At 46.7% G+C, this 16,541-nt stretch overlaps 1 protein-coding gene across 13 annotated transcripts in view, besides 2 other annotated features; it reads left to right on the top strand.

Annotated features, from left to right (window-relative positions):
* The window catches only part of RNASEH1 (ribonuclease H1), a 26,521-nt gene extending 9,980 nt beyond the window's left edge, over positions 1-16,541 (top strand). For 10 of the 13 annotated variants that reach the window (NR_165465.1, NR_165468.1, NR_165466.1 and 7 more), the window contains 2 exons: positions 299-423; positions 2,483-6,924. Coding sequence is in view for 6 of the 13 variants with exons in the window: in NM_001378272.1 (NP_001365201.1) it covers positions 299-423; positions 2,483-2,569 (212 nt within the window). In the remaining 7 variants the exon portion in view is untranslated. Of the gene's footprint in view, positions 1-298; positions 424-2,462; positions 6,925-11,442; positions 11,631-12,040; positions 12,157-14,098; positions 15,247-16,043 lie in introns of those variants that run through there. The other 3 variants (NR_148534.2, NR_148532.2, NM_001378271.1) reach the window with 3 other exon arrangements.
* Positions 11,263-12,462: an enhancer, noted in NCBI's record as "MED14-independent group 3 enhancer chr2:3583482-3584681 (GRCh37/hg19 assembly coordinates)". NCBI's record gives its function as "activates an origin of replication core promoter dependent on BRD2, BRD4, P300/CBP and CDK7 cofactors, and independent of MED14, by STARR-seq in HCT116 cells {active_cell/tissue: HCT116}" and the evidence as "EXISTENCE:reporter gene assay evidence [ECO:0000049][PMID:35650434]".
* Positions 12,061-12,355: an enhancer, noted in NCBI's record as "tiled region #11889; HepG2 Activating DNase unmatched - State 1:Tss". NCBI's record gives its function as "activates a minimal TATA promoter and a strong SV40 promoter by Sharpr-MPRA in HepG2 cells {active_cell/tissue: HepG2}" and the evidence as "EXISTENCE:reporter gene assay evidence [ECO:0000049][PMID:27701403]".

The following is a 16,541-nucleotide window of genomic DNA, read 5'->3' as shown; positions in this document are numbered from 1 at the left end:
TGGGAAATGCCCTGAATAGGAGCATGTAGGGGATGCTTACGAGGCTGGGGAAGGCTCCTGGGAGAAATGACATCTTAAGCTGACAGCTGTAGGTAGAATACAAGTTAGGGGAAAGGGAAGAGAGGAGGGTATTTCAGGCTGTGCCAAAGGCCAAAGCAACTAAGGCCAGCTAAGGAAGTGAAGAGTCAAGGATGGTGACTCAGAATACAAGTGGGATCAATTATAAGAGGTAAGACTAAGGAGGTGAAAAAGGCAGGACACTCAAGATTGACTCACCAGTGATCGTGCATTTTTGTAGGTATAACTAACTGGGTTCAAGGTTGGAAGAAAAATGGGTGGAAGACAAGTGCAGGGAAAGAGGTGATCAACAAAGAGGACTTTGTGGCACTGGAGAGGCTTACCCAGGGGATGGACATTCAGTGGGTGAGTATCTTAAATGTTCATGTCCTATGGCCATTATGACCAAATAAGCTAAGTTTACTAGAGATTAATGGTTTATGTAAGTGGTTTAATGACATAACAATTTCCATGATATTAATATCATAATGTATATTACAACGTATTTGAGGCTGGGCGTAGTGGCTCACGCCTATAATCCCAGCACTTTGGGAGGCTGAGGTGGGTGGATCACGAGGTCAGGAGTTCAAGACCAGCCTGGCCAGTATGGTGAAACCCCATCTTTATTAAAAAATACAAAAATTAGCCGGGCATGGTGGTGTGTGCCTGTAGTCCCAGCTACTCAGGAGGCTGAGGCAGGAGAATCACTTGAACCCAGGAGGCGGAAGTTGCAGTGAGCTGAGATCGCGCCACTGCACTCCAGCCTGAGCAACGATATGAGACTCCAAGACCCCGTCTCAAAAAAAAAAAAAAAATATGTGAGCCTGGGCTCAGTGGTTCACATCTGTAACCCAGCACTTTAGGAGGCCCAAATGGCCTGACTACTTAAGCCAAGAAGTTCGAGACCAGCCTGGATAACATGGGGAGACTCTGTTTCTCGAAAAAATAAAAAATTAGCCAGGGGTAGTGGCACATGCCTGTAGTCTAGTTACTCAGGACACTGAGGTGGGAGGATGACTTGAGCTGGGGAGGTCGAGGTTGCAGTGAGCCAAGATTGTACCACTGTACTCTAGCCTGGGCGACAGAGTGAGACCCTGTCTCAGAAAAACAAAACAAACCCACCCACATACACAAATTTGATTATTTTCCTTATCATACAAGTAATACAGTTTTTTGGTTTGGTTTTTGAGACAGGTCTCACTCTGTCACCCCAGGCTATGGCGTGATCTCATTGCAACCTCTGCCTTCTGGGTTCAAGTGATTCTCGTGCCTCAGCCTCCCAAGTATCTGGGATTACAGGCATATGCCACCACGCCTGGCTAATTTTTGTATTTTTAGTAGCGATGGAGTTTTGTCATGTTACCCAGGCTGGTCTTGAACTCTTGATCTCAAACATTCCACCTGCCTTGGCCTCTCAAAGTGCTGGGATTACATTTGTTTTGTGTCACTTCCTATATGTTTTTGTTTTATGACAAAAAGGTTTACAACTAAATCAATAATCATGTCAAACTTTTTTTTATTGTTTTGAGATGGAGTCTCGCACTGTTGCCCAGGCTGGAGTGCAGTGGCGCAATCTCGGCTCGCTGCAACCACAAGTAATACAATTCTAGTGAGAGTGTCACTAGGCATAGAATACACAGGCAGTGTGGTTTGAGGGATGTTCTACAATCCTTATATTTTGTTAAGAACACGAAGTAACACCCAACCTGGGCACATGGCATTACTATGACAGCTGTATGTCACCCTGTTCATTTCTTTGGAATGCATCATAATGTTAAATAAAACTATCAGTGTATTTTGTTTCAAACAATAGTAAGGTTGTATGATTAAAGCCTTGGTAATAGAACTTTTATTCCAAGATGGAAGCACTTTTTAAAATCATAGATCATGTTTATTAAAAAGTTTTTTTCAAGCAATAGAGAACAAATTACACTGCAGCCACTGTCTCAACCCTGCCTTGTTCTGCCTTCCTGGAACCACTGATAATAGTTTGGTAGCCTGATGTGTAAATTTGCTTTGGCAACATAAATGTAAACAGTGGTTAAATAAGTACATTATTTCTGACAGCACTGCAAGGGAAGCGTGTGTGTGTGTTGCATACATATCCGTCCACCCATCTGTACATACATGTGTTTTGCCTGGAAAGCTTATCAAGTCCCATTGATAAGTGGGGAGGAAATAGCAACATGAACGGTAAAATCCAATTTGTGAAAAAACAAAATGGAATGTTCGTAAATCACATCCATTGCGTAAACGCATGAAGAATGGACAGCGTGCTGTTGAGGATCATGTCTGGGGAGAGGAGCGTTGAAGTTGAGCTTATGCTGTGCAGTCTGTTCTGAATGGTTTTTTATGATGACAATATAGTCATGTGTTGCTTATGTAAAGATGAGTAAAAATAAAAGGAAAACATTTATCTTAACAGATGCATGTTCCTGGTCATTCGGGATTTATAGGCAATGAAGAAGCTGACAGATTAGCCAGAGAAGGAGCTAAACAATCGGAAGACTGAGCCATGTGACTTTAGTCCTTGGGAGAACTTGAGCCAGCGGCTGTCTTGCTGCCTGTACTTACTGGTGTGGAAAATAGCCTGCAGGTAGGACCATTGCAGTGATGGGCAGATGCGTCTTTCACACGGAATCAGGCACAGTGGCCTTCTGTGACATGTGTTTATAAAAAATGGTTAAGTATATAATAAATTGAACATCTTTGAGATTGGAGAATTATGTGAGATTTCCACATTATGTTTACTGGGTTCAATACTGTCCTTGCTTGTTTTATTGCAGGCAAGCAAGGCAAATGGCCTAAAATGCTGTGGCTTATATTTTGATAAGAAATCAAAAAACCATTGGTTAAAAGATGCAACTCAGAAGTCTGGAAGTATTCTGAAAGCATCCATTTACCGTCCAGTTGACAGGTTTGAGTCTCCTGCTTGTATAGGTGACTTGTGCCCATGGGTACATTAAAGGAACATGCTGCCCAGGGCCTGGGCGGACAGCTCAGTGGGCAGGATGTGTGCTGGGTCTCAGCCCCATGTGCCTGCTTGCTGGGCAGTTAGTATAGGGCAAAGCCTGCCTGCGGCGACCCTGGCTGCTAGGCCATTCTCTAGGAACAGCTGCGACTCATAAAGACCAAGAAGCATAAATAAACTTTCAAAAATTTATTTGGCTCTTTCGTTAAAAACTGTGCAAATTAAAAAAAAAAAAAAAAAAGTAAGACACCGGCTGGGCACAGTGGCTCACTTCTGTAATCCTAGCACTTTGGGAGGCCAAGGCGGGCAGATCACTTGAGGTCAGGAGTTTGAGACCAGCTTGGCCAACATGACGAAACCCTGTCTCTACTAAAATTACAAAAATTATCCAGGTGTGGTGGCACGGGCTTGTAGTCCCAGCTACTTGGGAGGCTGAGGCACAAGAATCACTTGAACCCAGGCGGCAGAGGTTGCAGTGAGCCAAGATTGCACCACTGCACTCCATCCTGGGCAACAGAGTGAGACTCTGTCTCAAAAAAAAAAAAAAGTAGTAAAAGTTTGACATGATTATTTATTTAGTTTTAAACCTTTTTATTATAAAAACATACAGGAAGTGACACAAAACAAATGTATAGCTTATTGAATGATTATGATTGTAAGGTGAATAACCTTTGTGTCCACCACCTGGTGAAGAAATAGTACTTTGCCAGATACCCCAGGAGGCTCTCCCAAGTGCCCCTCCAGCCACAGCCCTCTTCTTCTCCCCCTCCTTGCCCCAACAAGTAATCCTGACTTTTACAGAAATGACTTTCTTGGTTTTTTGATGGCAGTTTAGTCTTGTCTGCTTTTTTTTGTTTATTTTTTTATCTACTTCAGTGTCCATTTGCAGTCCCGTCGGCCTCACTGTTTTCCCTGCCGTTTATCTGTTGAAGAGCCTGGGCTGTTTGTCCCATGGCTTCCCACAGTGTAGATTTTGCTGACCACGTGGTCATGGTGTAGTTCAGCATGGTCCTCTATGTTTCCTGCACATTGGCAGCTGGGTCCAGAGGCTTGATGAGCCTCAAATTTGATCCCTTTGGCAGGAGAACAGGCGGTTAGGAGCTTTCCTCAGGAAAGTACCATGTTGACGGCAGCTGATGCTCAGTGCCAAGATCCATTAATTATTTGGGGTTGCAAAATGGTGGTATTCTCATTCTGTCGTTTTGCTTGCCTTTATTAGCTGGAATGGTTTTCTAAGAAAGTGTTTTCTTTTTTATACTTATCTGGTTACCCAGTGGTACAGTTCATATAGGAAGGGCAGGATAAATGCTTGATTCTTTGCTCTTGTACACTAAGTTTTTAAGATAATGCATTAGTTGTCTGTCAAGGAAGGTGAGTGGTGAAGGGTTTTTACATATATACAAGAATTCATGGGCTGGGCATGGTGTCTTATGCCTGTAATCCCAGCACTTTGGGAGGCTGAGGCTGGAGGATCACATGAACCCAGGAGTTTGAGACTAGTCTGGGCAACATAGTGACACCCTGTCTCTACAGAAAATTAAAATAAAATCAGGTGGGTGTGGTAGTGCCTGCCTGTTGTCCCAGCTATTCTGGAGGCTGAGATGGGAGGATCGCTTGGGCCCAGGAGGTCGAGGATGCGTGAGCTGTGACCATGCCACCACATTCCAGCCTGGGCGACAGCAAGTCCTTGTCTTAAAAAAAAAAAAGAATTTGTGGAGTTAAGCATACTTGGTGGGTTTCAATCCGTTGTGATTTTTATCTTTATTTAGCTCAGACTAGCTTATTCGGTCAGTGAGAGGGAGCCTCTTCAGCTTGGCTCTTGCTTTCTTTTGATAAGTGTGCACATGTGTGCATACATGTGTGCACAGACCACACGCACAGTCATTGATAGCTCCCTGCAGCCTGGCATGTCAAGATGCTCTAGGCCCAATTTATAGAGCTTCTGCTCCAAACCTGTCTTAAAAGAAAAACTTTAGACAAGTTAGCAGTTTAATTGAGCAGAAAATAGTTTCTTCAGCTGGGTAGCACTCAGGACCAAAAGTGGTTCAGAACGTTCTCCTGTGCGTTGTGTGCAGGCTGTATTTATTTATAGCCACAGGAAGGGAAAGACACATGTACATGGCCAGACTGACTGCAGGTCAGCCTCCACCTCACATAGGCATGTTTTGGGAGCCTTCAGCATGTGATTGGTGAGACTCTGCTGCTTGTTACAGAAGTGTACTCTCAAGTCAGGTCCCAGTTTGCTTATACATTAAGTGAGGTTATAAGTCACTATGTACAGAGGCAGTTTTAGGCCAAACTTAATTCCGTTTAACACTTGGAATCCATTATTTTTCCCAGAGTCTCTGGTAGAGATGGTATTTCAGATCCAGTTTAGGATGCTCATTGCTATTGCGTTGGTCATTATTTCTAGATTTTTGGACGGAGCTTTAAAAAAATACAAACATTGCACACACATATTTAAAGGAAGAATATTTTCTGAGCCTATATTGATATTCCCAATACAAATTCAGGGTCCTGGGGCCTTTACATAGCCTCCTCTATATGATGTCTGTGTCTCCTGCACTCGGAATCCTGCTTCTCAAGACACAGGACAATGGCATGGAATATCCATCCCTTAATCACTCACTTGTTTTATTCCTCTTTAGCATTTAGCATTTAAAAAAAATACTAATACCATAGCATTAATTGTGATGATGAAAACAGCACTGTGTCTACGTTGTCAGAAAAATTGCTCCTTTTTACCACCATTGACTCATTTCTGTGTGTTCAGGTCTCATAACCAGTCTATAGTCAGTGTCATCTTGGGGACAGTATTCCTTGAGTTTCTGATGTTGAATTCAGTTTTGCTGGATACGAAATTCTTGGCCCAGATTTTCTTTGAGTATCTTGTTTTATTCTGTTTTCTTCCAGCATAAAGTGATGCATGAAAAGCCTGATGAATCTTGTTTTCTTCCCCTGACAGTCATATGCTGTTTTTCCTTAGATGCCCAAAGGATTTTTTCCTTTTTCTGTCAAGTCGGCCGTTTTATTCGAATGTGTCATGTGTTGGTATTGGTTGTCCTGGTCCATATTTGCAAGCGTATGGTGTGCTCTTTCTATGTGTACTTCATATCTGTTATTTTAAGAAGATTTGCTTGAACTGGAGTTTAGTGTTACATTTTTCTTGCTTTGGCTTTTTTCTGTGGGGATCCCTGTTATCTGTATGTTGAAATCTAAATTGGCTGTTCTCAGTGTTTGCCACTGTCTCTTGAATCTCTTTTATCTCTTTCTTTGTTTCTTTTTGAGTTTTAAAAGTTGTTATTGTACCACTTTTGTTTTGTTTTGTTATTTAAAATAGGAACAGTGTCTCACTGTGTTGCCCAGGCTGGTCTTAAACTCCTGGCCTCAAGCGATCCTCCTTCCTTGGCCTCCCAAAGTGCTGGGATTACAGGTGTGAGCCACCAAAGCCGGCCCCACCTTGCTTTTTAAAACAGCTCTGTTGAGGTGTAACTGACAGGTAATGAACTGCACATACGTGAAGTGACCGATGCATTTGCCTGTGAAGCTGTCGCCAGAACATGTCCATCACCACCAACAGCAGTTTCACACCCCGGTCTAAACCGTCCCTCGTGTCCTCCATGTTCAGGCAACCACTGGTCTGCTCCCTCTCACTAAAGGTTAATTTATATATTCTAGAATTTTATCTGAGTGGAATCGCAGAGCAAGTACTGTGGGGGGAGGTGCTTCTACTCAGCATAATTATTTTGGCATTCACCCATTTTGTGTACATCAATAATCCACATTTTGTATTGCATGGATATACCACAGTTTATTTATTTACCTGTTGACCGATATTTCGATTATTTCCAATTTCTAAATAAAAATAAAGCAAATAAAGCTGCCGTGAACATTTATATCCTCGTCTTTGTCTTCTGTTTCTCTTGGGTAAATGCCTTGGAATGGAATGCTTGGTCATATGGCAGGTGTGTGCTCTTTTTTTCTTTTTTTTTTTTTGGAGATGGAGCCTCACTCTGTCACCCAGGCTGGAGTGCAGTGGCGTGATCTTGGCTCACTGTAAGCTCTGCCTCCCGGGTTCACACCATTCTCCTGCCTCAGCCTCCCGAGTAGCTGGGACTACAGGTGCCCGCCACTACACCCGGCTAATTTTTTTGTATTTTTAGTAGAGGTGGGGTTTCACTGTGTTAGTCAGGATGGTCTCAATCTCCTGACCTCGTGATCCGCCTGCCTCGGCCTCCCAAAGTGCTGGGATTACAGTGTGAGCCCAGCCAGCTGGTGTGTGCTTTTTAAGAAACTGTGAAACTTTTCCAAGTGTGAACTTTACACTTTACATTCCCTCCAGTCAGGCAGGAGAGTTCCAGTTCACTCCACATCCTTGTCAACACTTGTCACCTCATTCTGTTACAAATGTCCATAAGTTTTTTGGTTTTGCTGTTTAGTAGTTCTGTTTTTAGGTGGGGATTTGAGAAGATTCAAAAAGCATGCTCCTGCTGCTGCCTCTGTCTTCTGAGAATCTGTGATTTAAAAAAAAAAAAATTGAACCAGAATTGGAAATAGATGAAAAGTTGTGCCTTTAGAAACTTTACGGTCTGTGGGATTTTCACAACACAGATGATGTTGGCTGGGCGCAGTGGCTCACGCCTGTAGTCCCAGCACTTTGGGAAGCTGAAGCAAGTGGATCACGAGGTCAGGCGTTCAAGACCAGGCTGACCAAGATGGTAAAACCCCATCTCTACTAAAAATACAAAAATTACCCAGGCGCGGTGGCAGGTGCCTGTAATCCCAGCTACTCGGGAGGCTGAGGCAGGAGAATTGCTTGAACCCAGGCGGCAGAGGTTGCAGTGAGCCAAGATTGTGCCACTGCACTCCAGCCTGGGCAATAGAGTGAGACTCTGTCTCAAAACAAAAAACAAAAGTGATGTCAGTACAGCAGAAAGTGCATGAAGCCGGAGGGAAGGAAAGGTCCAACCACTTTTAAAGAGGAATCTTAAATTTTTAGGGGGCAATTTTTTTTTTATTAAAAGAAAATATATTACTGAGAATCAAAAAATCAGCTGCATTTTTTATATCTTTAGAAACTTAACAATGATATATAATTGCATCTTCATCAGCTCCAAATCAAAATATTTGAGTGACTGTCATATCAGATTGTGCTACATATTGTGGAATATATAAGCTTTCAACTGGTGCTGCTTTAATAGGATGTTCGTGCCGCACAAATAGAGGCCGTTGAAGAAATGTTCTTTGTGCAGAACTCCCCTCCTGGTGTCTGCCGGTACTGGAGCGTCACGGTGTCACCCCATTGCTGAAGCCTGAAGGTAGCCACTCTGCCATCTTGTAGGACAGGCACAAAAGTGCACGAAGCCGGAGGTCAAACAAAACGAGAAAGAAAAAGCCCTCCTGGCTGGTGGACAGCTTGGGTAACTGTAAATAGGAACCAATGAAAGCTGCACTCCTGATTTCAGGTGATGTTCATTTCAAGTTGAGCAAGTCTGGGCCACAGATGCTGTGGCTGAAAAGGAGGGCCTCGGGGTAGATTTCTGGTCTTTTTCCTAATTCTAATATTCTAGTAGTTCTGGAGCAAGAAGGAATAGGTCACTCAACTAAAGCCCCTTTTTTAATAACGTGATGAGCTGACATTCAGAACTCAGGATGTCATCAGAACAAAACACGTAGCAATGATCGTGGTGGTCGTGGTTCCTCAGTTCGTAAACACTCAGGGGTAACATGGGGAGGGCCGGCTGCATCTGCCTGCATTGTGTCTCCTGGCACACAGAAGGCGTTGACTATGCTGGCCAGCTCGTTCAAGCAGCTTTGGTTCTTAATTGCCCATTGAGAGACAGGAATTGGCACAAGGTGACTCTGATATTGTGTTGACATAAGTATTTGTCAAAGAACAACTTTCATCAAAATACGCCCCCAAATTAAGATTCTTTGGTGATACGGGAAGCCGCCAGTATATGGTGGTAGGGTTTTGGACAAAGACAAATATGAATGAAGTGGGAAACAGGGCAAGTGGACCGCTGTCTCTGCCCGCAGCTGACAGAGCTGTTCTCTAAACCTAAATATGCACAGATTCGTGTATATTAAAAGCAGTACCTCAACAGTAAACAAGGGTCTTTAACCTAGGATTTAACATCCAGCAATCATGAAAGAAGACTACGTATAAATAAAAAGGTTTTGAAGAGCCATAAGCAAAAACAAACTAGGAAAAGAAGTTGCAACTCATATCACAAAGGACTAATTTCCCTAATATATAAGAACTAGAAATTGAAAAAAAACTAACAACTCAGAAGAATGGATTGGCCAAATTGTTTACAGAAAAAGAAATACTCATGGCCCTTTAGGAATGAAAAGATGCTCGGCTTTACTCACGAGAGAATGCAGATTAAAACACCAAGACATCATTTCTCTGTATGATATTAGCAACAGTGCATATGTTGCTGAGGCTGCCTGGAAACGTGTGCTCACCTGTGTTGGTGCTGAGTGCGGATGGGCACCACTCAACACCAGACAGAGGCGTGGCCCACTCTCAGAATTACAAATGCTTTGATGTTTAATCCACCAGTCCCCACTCTGCAGATTGTATGCTGTAGATACACCTTGCACACATAAAAATAAAAGATGACCAGGTTTTTAATATCAGAGAACTGGAAACTATACTGGGACCTGAAGCGGCCGTGGAATAAACAGCGTTAGAGTGACAGACCCCATAAGTACCCACAGACCAGAAGGTGCTCTGGGCACTGTTAAGTGGAAAAAGGAAAGTACCTGATTCATGTTACAGCAGGCTGCCTTTTGTGTCAAAGAGGATAAATAAAAATTCACAAACAGTGAAGTATTACTCTATTACACTGGGAATGGGGAGAGGATGCTGTGGGTGGGAACAGGGCGGTAATGAGACTTGCTGGGGTGTGCGTCTTTGTATGCTATCTTTTTATCTTTTATATATATATATTATATATATTTTTTTGAGATGGAGTTTTGCTCTTGTTGCTCAGGCTGGAGTGCAGTGGTGCCATCTCGGCTCACTGCAACCTCTGCGTCCTGGGTTCAAACAATTCTCTTGCCTCAGCCTCCGGAGTAGCTGGGACTACAAGGTGCCCAACACCACGCCCGGCTACTTTTTTTGTATTTTTAGTAGAGGCAGGGTTTCACCATGTTGGCCAGGCTGGTCTCCGACTCCCGACCTCATGTGATCCACCCGCCTCGGCCTCCCAAAGTGCTGGGATTACAGGTGTGAGCCACTGTGCCCAGCCTGTATGCTATCTTAAAAAAAAAAATTGTTTTAAGACAGTTTCGCTCTTGTTGGCCAGGCTGGAGTGCAATGGTGCGATCTCAACTGACCGCAACCTCCGCCTCCTGGGTTCAAGCAATTCTCCTGCCTCAGCCTCCCGAGTAGCTGGGATTACAGGCATGCACCACCATGCCCAGCTAATTTTGTATTTTTAGTAGAGATGGGGTTTCTCCATGTTGATCAAGCTGGTCGCGAACTCCTGACCTCAGGTGATCTGCCTGCCTTGGCCTGCCAAAGTGCTGGGATTACAGGCATGAGCCACCGTGCCCAGCCAAAAAGATTTTCTTTCATCTTTTTTTTTTTCTTTTGAGACACGGTCTTGCTCTGTCACCTAGGCTGGAGTACAGTGGCGCTGTCAAAGCTTACTGCAGCCTCCACCTCCTGAGCTCAAGTGATACTCCAGCCTCAGCCTCCTGAGTAGCTGGGACTACAAGTGTGTGCCACCATTCCCAGCTAATTTTTATTTTTGTTAGAGCTGGGGTCTCACTACGTTGTCCAGGCGGGTCTTCAACTTCTGGGCTCAAGCAATTCTCCAGCCTCGGCCTCCCAACACGCTGGGGTTAGAGCCATGAGCCACTGTGCCTAGCCTTTTTATATGTTACCTTGATCTTTGAATCATGTTGTAATACCTGTTAATAAATATTTGATAAAAAATATTCGAAAGGTCTGCCTTCAAAGAGGGCAGGTAAAGGGCATCGGTGCTGTGGGACTCTGACCAGCAGAAACCCCAGTGGCCAGGTGGACACATGCTTAGCTGAGGTGTTCAGATCCCACCCCAGTCTTTGCAGCTCCCATCTGCTCTGTGAAACTCTGTGACATGGCACAGTGTGTGTATCTGAGATTCGTATAATATGTAGTGTGCTCCTTTTAGGTAGACAACATGCTTTAACCTAACATTTTGAAACCCAGAAGAAAATTGATGGGGATCACATTTAGGAACTGAATGGATCCCCCAAAATTCATGTCAAACCCCTAATCCCTGGCGTGGCCATTTGGAGAGGGGCCTCTAAGGAGGTACTGGGGTTAAGGTTATAAGGGTGGGGAGGCCCTGACCCGATGGGATGGGTGTCCCTATAAGGAGAGACCCCAGAGTGCTCGTGCTCCCTCCTGCCTGCAGGGGCACTCTCCCGGGACAGACCACGCACCAGCCTCTGCGAGCCAGGAAGGAGCCTCTGCAGAAACGGAACCAGCGGGAACCTTGACCTGAGACTTGCAGCCTCCAGAACTGGGAGAAAATAGATTTCTGTTGTTTCAAGCCCCCGAGCCTGTGGTATTTTGTCCCAGCAGCCTGAGCAGGCTGAAATGGTAGGTTGGGATGCTTGGTAAAGAAAAAAAGGAAATTCTTGTTAAGGGTGTGAAGAGGCATTATTCAAGGGCCCACTCCAGTGAGGTTTTGCAGAAAAGGAGAGAGATGGGGCTCAAATCCGAGTACAGGGATGGGTGGGAGCTGACAGCCCCGGAGCAGGGGTGGGGCCTGTGGACAGAAATTCCTAAGTGGAAACGTCAGGAGTCAGGGTGGGTTTCCCCAAGCAGGCTCAGCAGGATTTGCTCAAACGGAGCCAGCCCAGGACAGAGCCCAAGGTCAGAGCCTGGTCCACGAGGGGACTCGGAGGGGTGGACTCAAGCTTGGTCCCAGAGGGGAGGGGACTCGGAGCGGTGGACGCAAGCTTGGTCCGGGAAGGTCTTTGTCAAGGCCCATTTGTTTTATTTTACAGGGAGGAAACTGCAGCCGAGTCAGCTCCTCTGACTCTAGGCCGACCGTTCTTCCCTGTATGACATGTGACTCACCAGATAAAGCCACACACGTCATTCTTTTAAAATTCTCTACTCTGTGAGTGCAATGAAATTAGTATTTTTCCACAAGTCCTTTCCTTTCTCTAATGTGTAAAGTAAGAGGCAGAGAGATCCTGCTCTAGTCTCTGGGCCCTCCCTCTGCTGGCAATGTTCTTTTTCTGTTTTAACCATCTGAGCAGCACACGACCGCCCTGTCTTGGGGCAGTGACGTGTCTGTGGTCAGTACAGGACCTGGTGCTGGCTCTCTCGTGGCCGGGACCGACAGTGCTCACGCCTGGACCCCGCTGTGTGTCCTACCCTGTTCAGTTTGCCAGCACAGGCTTTTGGTTCCATTTTCAACACATCTCTAGTCTGATCAGCCCTAACCTCCACTGCAGGCTGCGTCCTTCCCTGCCTGTACTAGTGCAGAGCTCCTGGTGGGTTCGCACCTTCTCCCCCAGCTCCTCCCTCTCCAGGTAGCAGCCAGGATGGCACTTTCAAACCATGTCAGATCACGTCGCTGCTGTGCTCAGGACCCTCCCGTGACTTCCTTGTCCCTCTCAGAATAAAATGCAAATTCCTCCCCCACACCCACAGGTGTCCCCCTGTCCCCACCCCACACCTCACCTGCACTTGCCAACTCCAGCCATGCGGCTCTTACTGCCGTTCCTCAATGTGCTGGGAACCTCCTGCCTCAGGGGCTTTGCTGTTCCACTGCCTGGGCTTTACTCAGATGGAACTTTCTTTGTAAAAAATTGATTTCTAAAATTATGGTAAAATATACATAACATAAAGTTAACATCTTAACCTTTTTTTTTTTTTTTTTTAGACAGGATAGTCTCACTCTGTCACGCAGGCTGGAGTGCAGTGGTGCAATCACAGCTCACTGCAGCCTCTGCCTCCTGGGTTCAAGTGATTCTCTTGCCTCAGCCTCCCAAGTAGCTGGGGACTAGAGGCACACACCACCACGCCTGGCTTTTTAATTTTTTTTTTTATTTTTAGTAGAGACAGGGTTTTGCCATGTTGGTCAGGCTGGTCTCGAACTCCTGATCTCAGGTGAACCGCCTGCCTCACCGTCCCCAAGTGCTGGGCTTACAGGTGTGAACCACTGCGGCCAGCCCATCTTAGCCGTTTTTAAGTGTGCAGTTCAGTGGCATTAGGTACACTCACACTGCTGTACAACCATCAGCACCCTCCATCTCCAGAACTTCTCATCTTCCCAGACTGAAGCTCTGTTCGTGTTGGACACGGACTCCCCAGCCCCTGGCAGCACTGTTCTGCTTTCCATCTCTATGAATGTGACTCCTCTAGGGACCCCGTATAAATGGAATCATGCAGGATTTGGCCTTTTGGGCCTGGCTTATTTCACTGACCCTAATGTCCTCAAGGTTCCTCCACATGGTAGCAGGTGTGAGAATTCCCTTCCTTCTAAGGCTGAAGAATGCTCCATTGTGTGGATGTGGCACAGGATTTTTTCTGTGCCACTTCACCAGCCGGAGACCTCCATGGCCGCTGGCGCCCCTGCCTGGCCTCACTCGGCCCAAGGATCACTGCTGGTGATACTCTGCACATTCGGCCCAGTGGGCTGTGCTCGGCTTGCACCCCGGCCCAGATCCCACGCTTGCCACAGGATCCGCGCTCAGCCGGCGGTTGGGCCGGGCATGCCGCAACCCGCTTCTGCCTTGGGCACCGGTGTCTGGATGAGGGGAACGTGGTGGCACCCAAAACTCAGAGACACCAGGAACCGCAGAGCCCCAAGGGTGTCACAGCTCAACCGTTCCCACCACCTGTGACTTGGCGAGCAGGGCGTGCTACAGCCCTGGTTCAGGGAGTCTGATGTCTGGGCTCTTGGGAAGCACCATAGCTCTAGTTCATTCCTGCCGCCCGCAACTTCAGCAAACGGGTGTGTGGCAGCCAGCAGTTTCTTCTCCTCCACTGCTCAGCAAGCAGGAGGGAGGGTTACAGTGTTACAGCCTTTTTTCACACCCACTGTTCTGCAGGTCCCAAGTTCTTGTCCCACATCCAGAAGAATAAGGTTATGCAGACAACCAGAGAGTGAGCAGGGCAGAAAAAAACTTCTATTGCATGATGGAACAGCTCCCAGCGTTGAGGGGACCTGAGAGTGGGCAGCCACTACCTGAAGGTGAGTAGTCTCTACCCAAAGGTGGTAGTCCCTGCTGTGTGGCTGAGTCCAGGGTTTTTATGGGCTCAGAAAGGGGGAGTGTGTGCTGATTGGCCCATGGGCGGGCCTAGAAAAAAATCACCATTCGATTGGCTAAAAGGTCGTGGACTTAACCTGGAACTGGCAGCTTGGTTTTCCAGCTTCAGGCTATCTTTGGCTTGAAGGTCGGGCTTCACTGGGGACCTGCCCCAGTCTGCCTAGGAATCTGTCTTCTGCTACTATCAGAGGGACCACGCTTCGCTTATCCAGTCGTCATTCACGGACCCTGCATTGTCTCTGCCTCTTGGGCTTTGTGAAGAATGCTGCTGTGAACAGGGGAGTGCCCCTGCCTGTTTGGGTCCCTGCTTTCCATTTCTTTGGGAGGTACGTGGAGAGGAGATTGCGGGGTCATGTGGTCATTCTGTTTGGCTCTTGGAGGAGCAGGCATCCTGTTTTCCACAGCAGCTCTGCCATCAAATGGCACTTTCTTAGTGACACCTCCCGTATCTCTCCCCATAAATGTATCTCTCCCCATAAACATTGCAACTCCTGGCTCACCTTCCTTCTCCTGTAACTTGTCACTGTGGAACTCTCAGGTGTGCCTGAGCCGACTCGTAGCAGCCCAGGAGGGCCAGCAGTGAGGCCCCTTCCCCACTCCGTGGTCAGTGCCTTCACACAGGGAGTTTGGAGGTGGCTGTAGTGGGAGGACTCACACCGCAGAAATCAGCCAGTGCTGCAGGTCAGGGGCCGCCATCCCCCAGAGCTGCTGTGAGACATCGACCAGCACATCAGTGGGCTGCTTTCCGCTGGTTTTATTTGCATGTATTTTGGTCTGTTTCCCTACCTAGAAAATAAACTCCCTGTGGCAGAAGTTTTATCTCTCTGCTCCCTTCTTGGTTCCCAGCTCTTGGAACAGAACCAGACTTCTGGCCGGGGCTCAGTCAGTGCTTGCAAGATGTTTGTTGGCACCAGGCTGTGCCAGGAGAGGTGAGCTCTGAGAGGGCAGTGTGAGGAAGGAGCAAGCCTCGCGGCTCTCTTTGGAGAAAAGGCCCGGGTGACATTTTATGCGTCCTTTCCCTTCCCCTGAGGCAGCACGATCGGCTTCTCTGTGGGCACAGAGGCCTGGGTTCTCGCCTCGCTCTGCCCGAAGGGTGAGCAGCTCCATCAGTCCTGTCTGCGCGGGAGAGCGCCTCCATGCCCCTTAGTGCGGTGCCTCCCAGCCTTTATAATGTCAGGGTACGGCTAGAAAATATGATTTCTACAGCACATCAGGGCCAAATGGAGGGCGTTGTTGGGTGCATCTCTTTGGGCCTCAGTGAACACTTTCACTAAATTCTTTACATGCAATCATGCACTGCATAGCAACATTTCTGTCAATGATGCACTGCATATTCAACAGGGGCCTCGTCAGATGATGATACCGTGTTTTTGCTGTAACTTTCCTATGCTTAGATACACAAATCCTTACCATTGTGTGACAGTTGCCTGCAGGATTCAGAGCAGTGACCTGCTGTACAGGTTTATAGCCCAGAAGCCATAGACTGTGCCACGTGGCCCGGGTGTGTAGTGGGCTGTACCATCTAGGGGTGTGAAATCACCTAAGGACACCTTCCTTAGAACCTATCCCAGTCAAGGGATGCGAGGCTGAGTAACGGGGCCCCTTGGGAGTTCAGCACTCAGCATGTTTCAGTGAGTGACTGAAATAATGAACGTTCTGATCGGGCCCTCTCTGGCTGGCACCTGTGAACCACTCGCTTTGTACCCATTATTTCTTGTTCCCACAGCATCATTATAAACTGCTGATCTACTGTTTCTTTGTCAAACGGGAGGAGATAACATGAGGGTCATGAGAAATGTTTGCAGACGGAGTGAATGCCTTGAAAGTGCTGCGACCAGGTGCTGACACCCGGAGGTCTGGCTGCTCAAAGTGTTAGCTGACACGGAAGACACACGGACTTTCCCTCCATTCCCCAAAACTCCCCTTCCCTGACTCGTCAGCTGCATAAAAACCCTCTCCTTATCTCTTTGTCAAGGGGATTTGAGAAATCTTGCTGTCTTGTCTTCTTGCTTTGGCCAAATGGAATAAACCTTTCTCTGTCTCCAGACACCTATGTCGCAGTGTTCGGCCTCAGCTATACGGCAGGTACATGAACCTGGTATTTGGGCTTCTACAACAATTGTACTTATAGCACAAATAAAGTACAAAGTGTTAGGGAAGACCAAAGACCATAGGTAGAAAACTTGGATACAACTTCCAAATAAACACTCTTCAAAACATTTAA

This window comes from Homo sapiens, chromosome 2, assembly GCF_000001405.40.
Source record: "Homo sapiens chromosome 2, GRCh38.p14 Primary Assembly".
NCBI lineage: Eukaryota > Metazoa > Chordata > Mammalia > Primates > Hominidae > Homo > Homo sapiens.
Note: the sequence above shows the minus strand (reverse complement) of the source record. Positions and strands in the feature narration are given on the sequence as shown.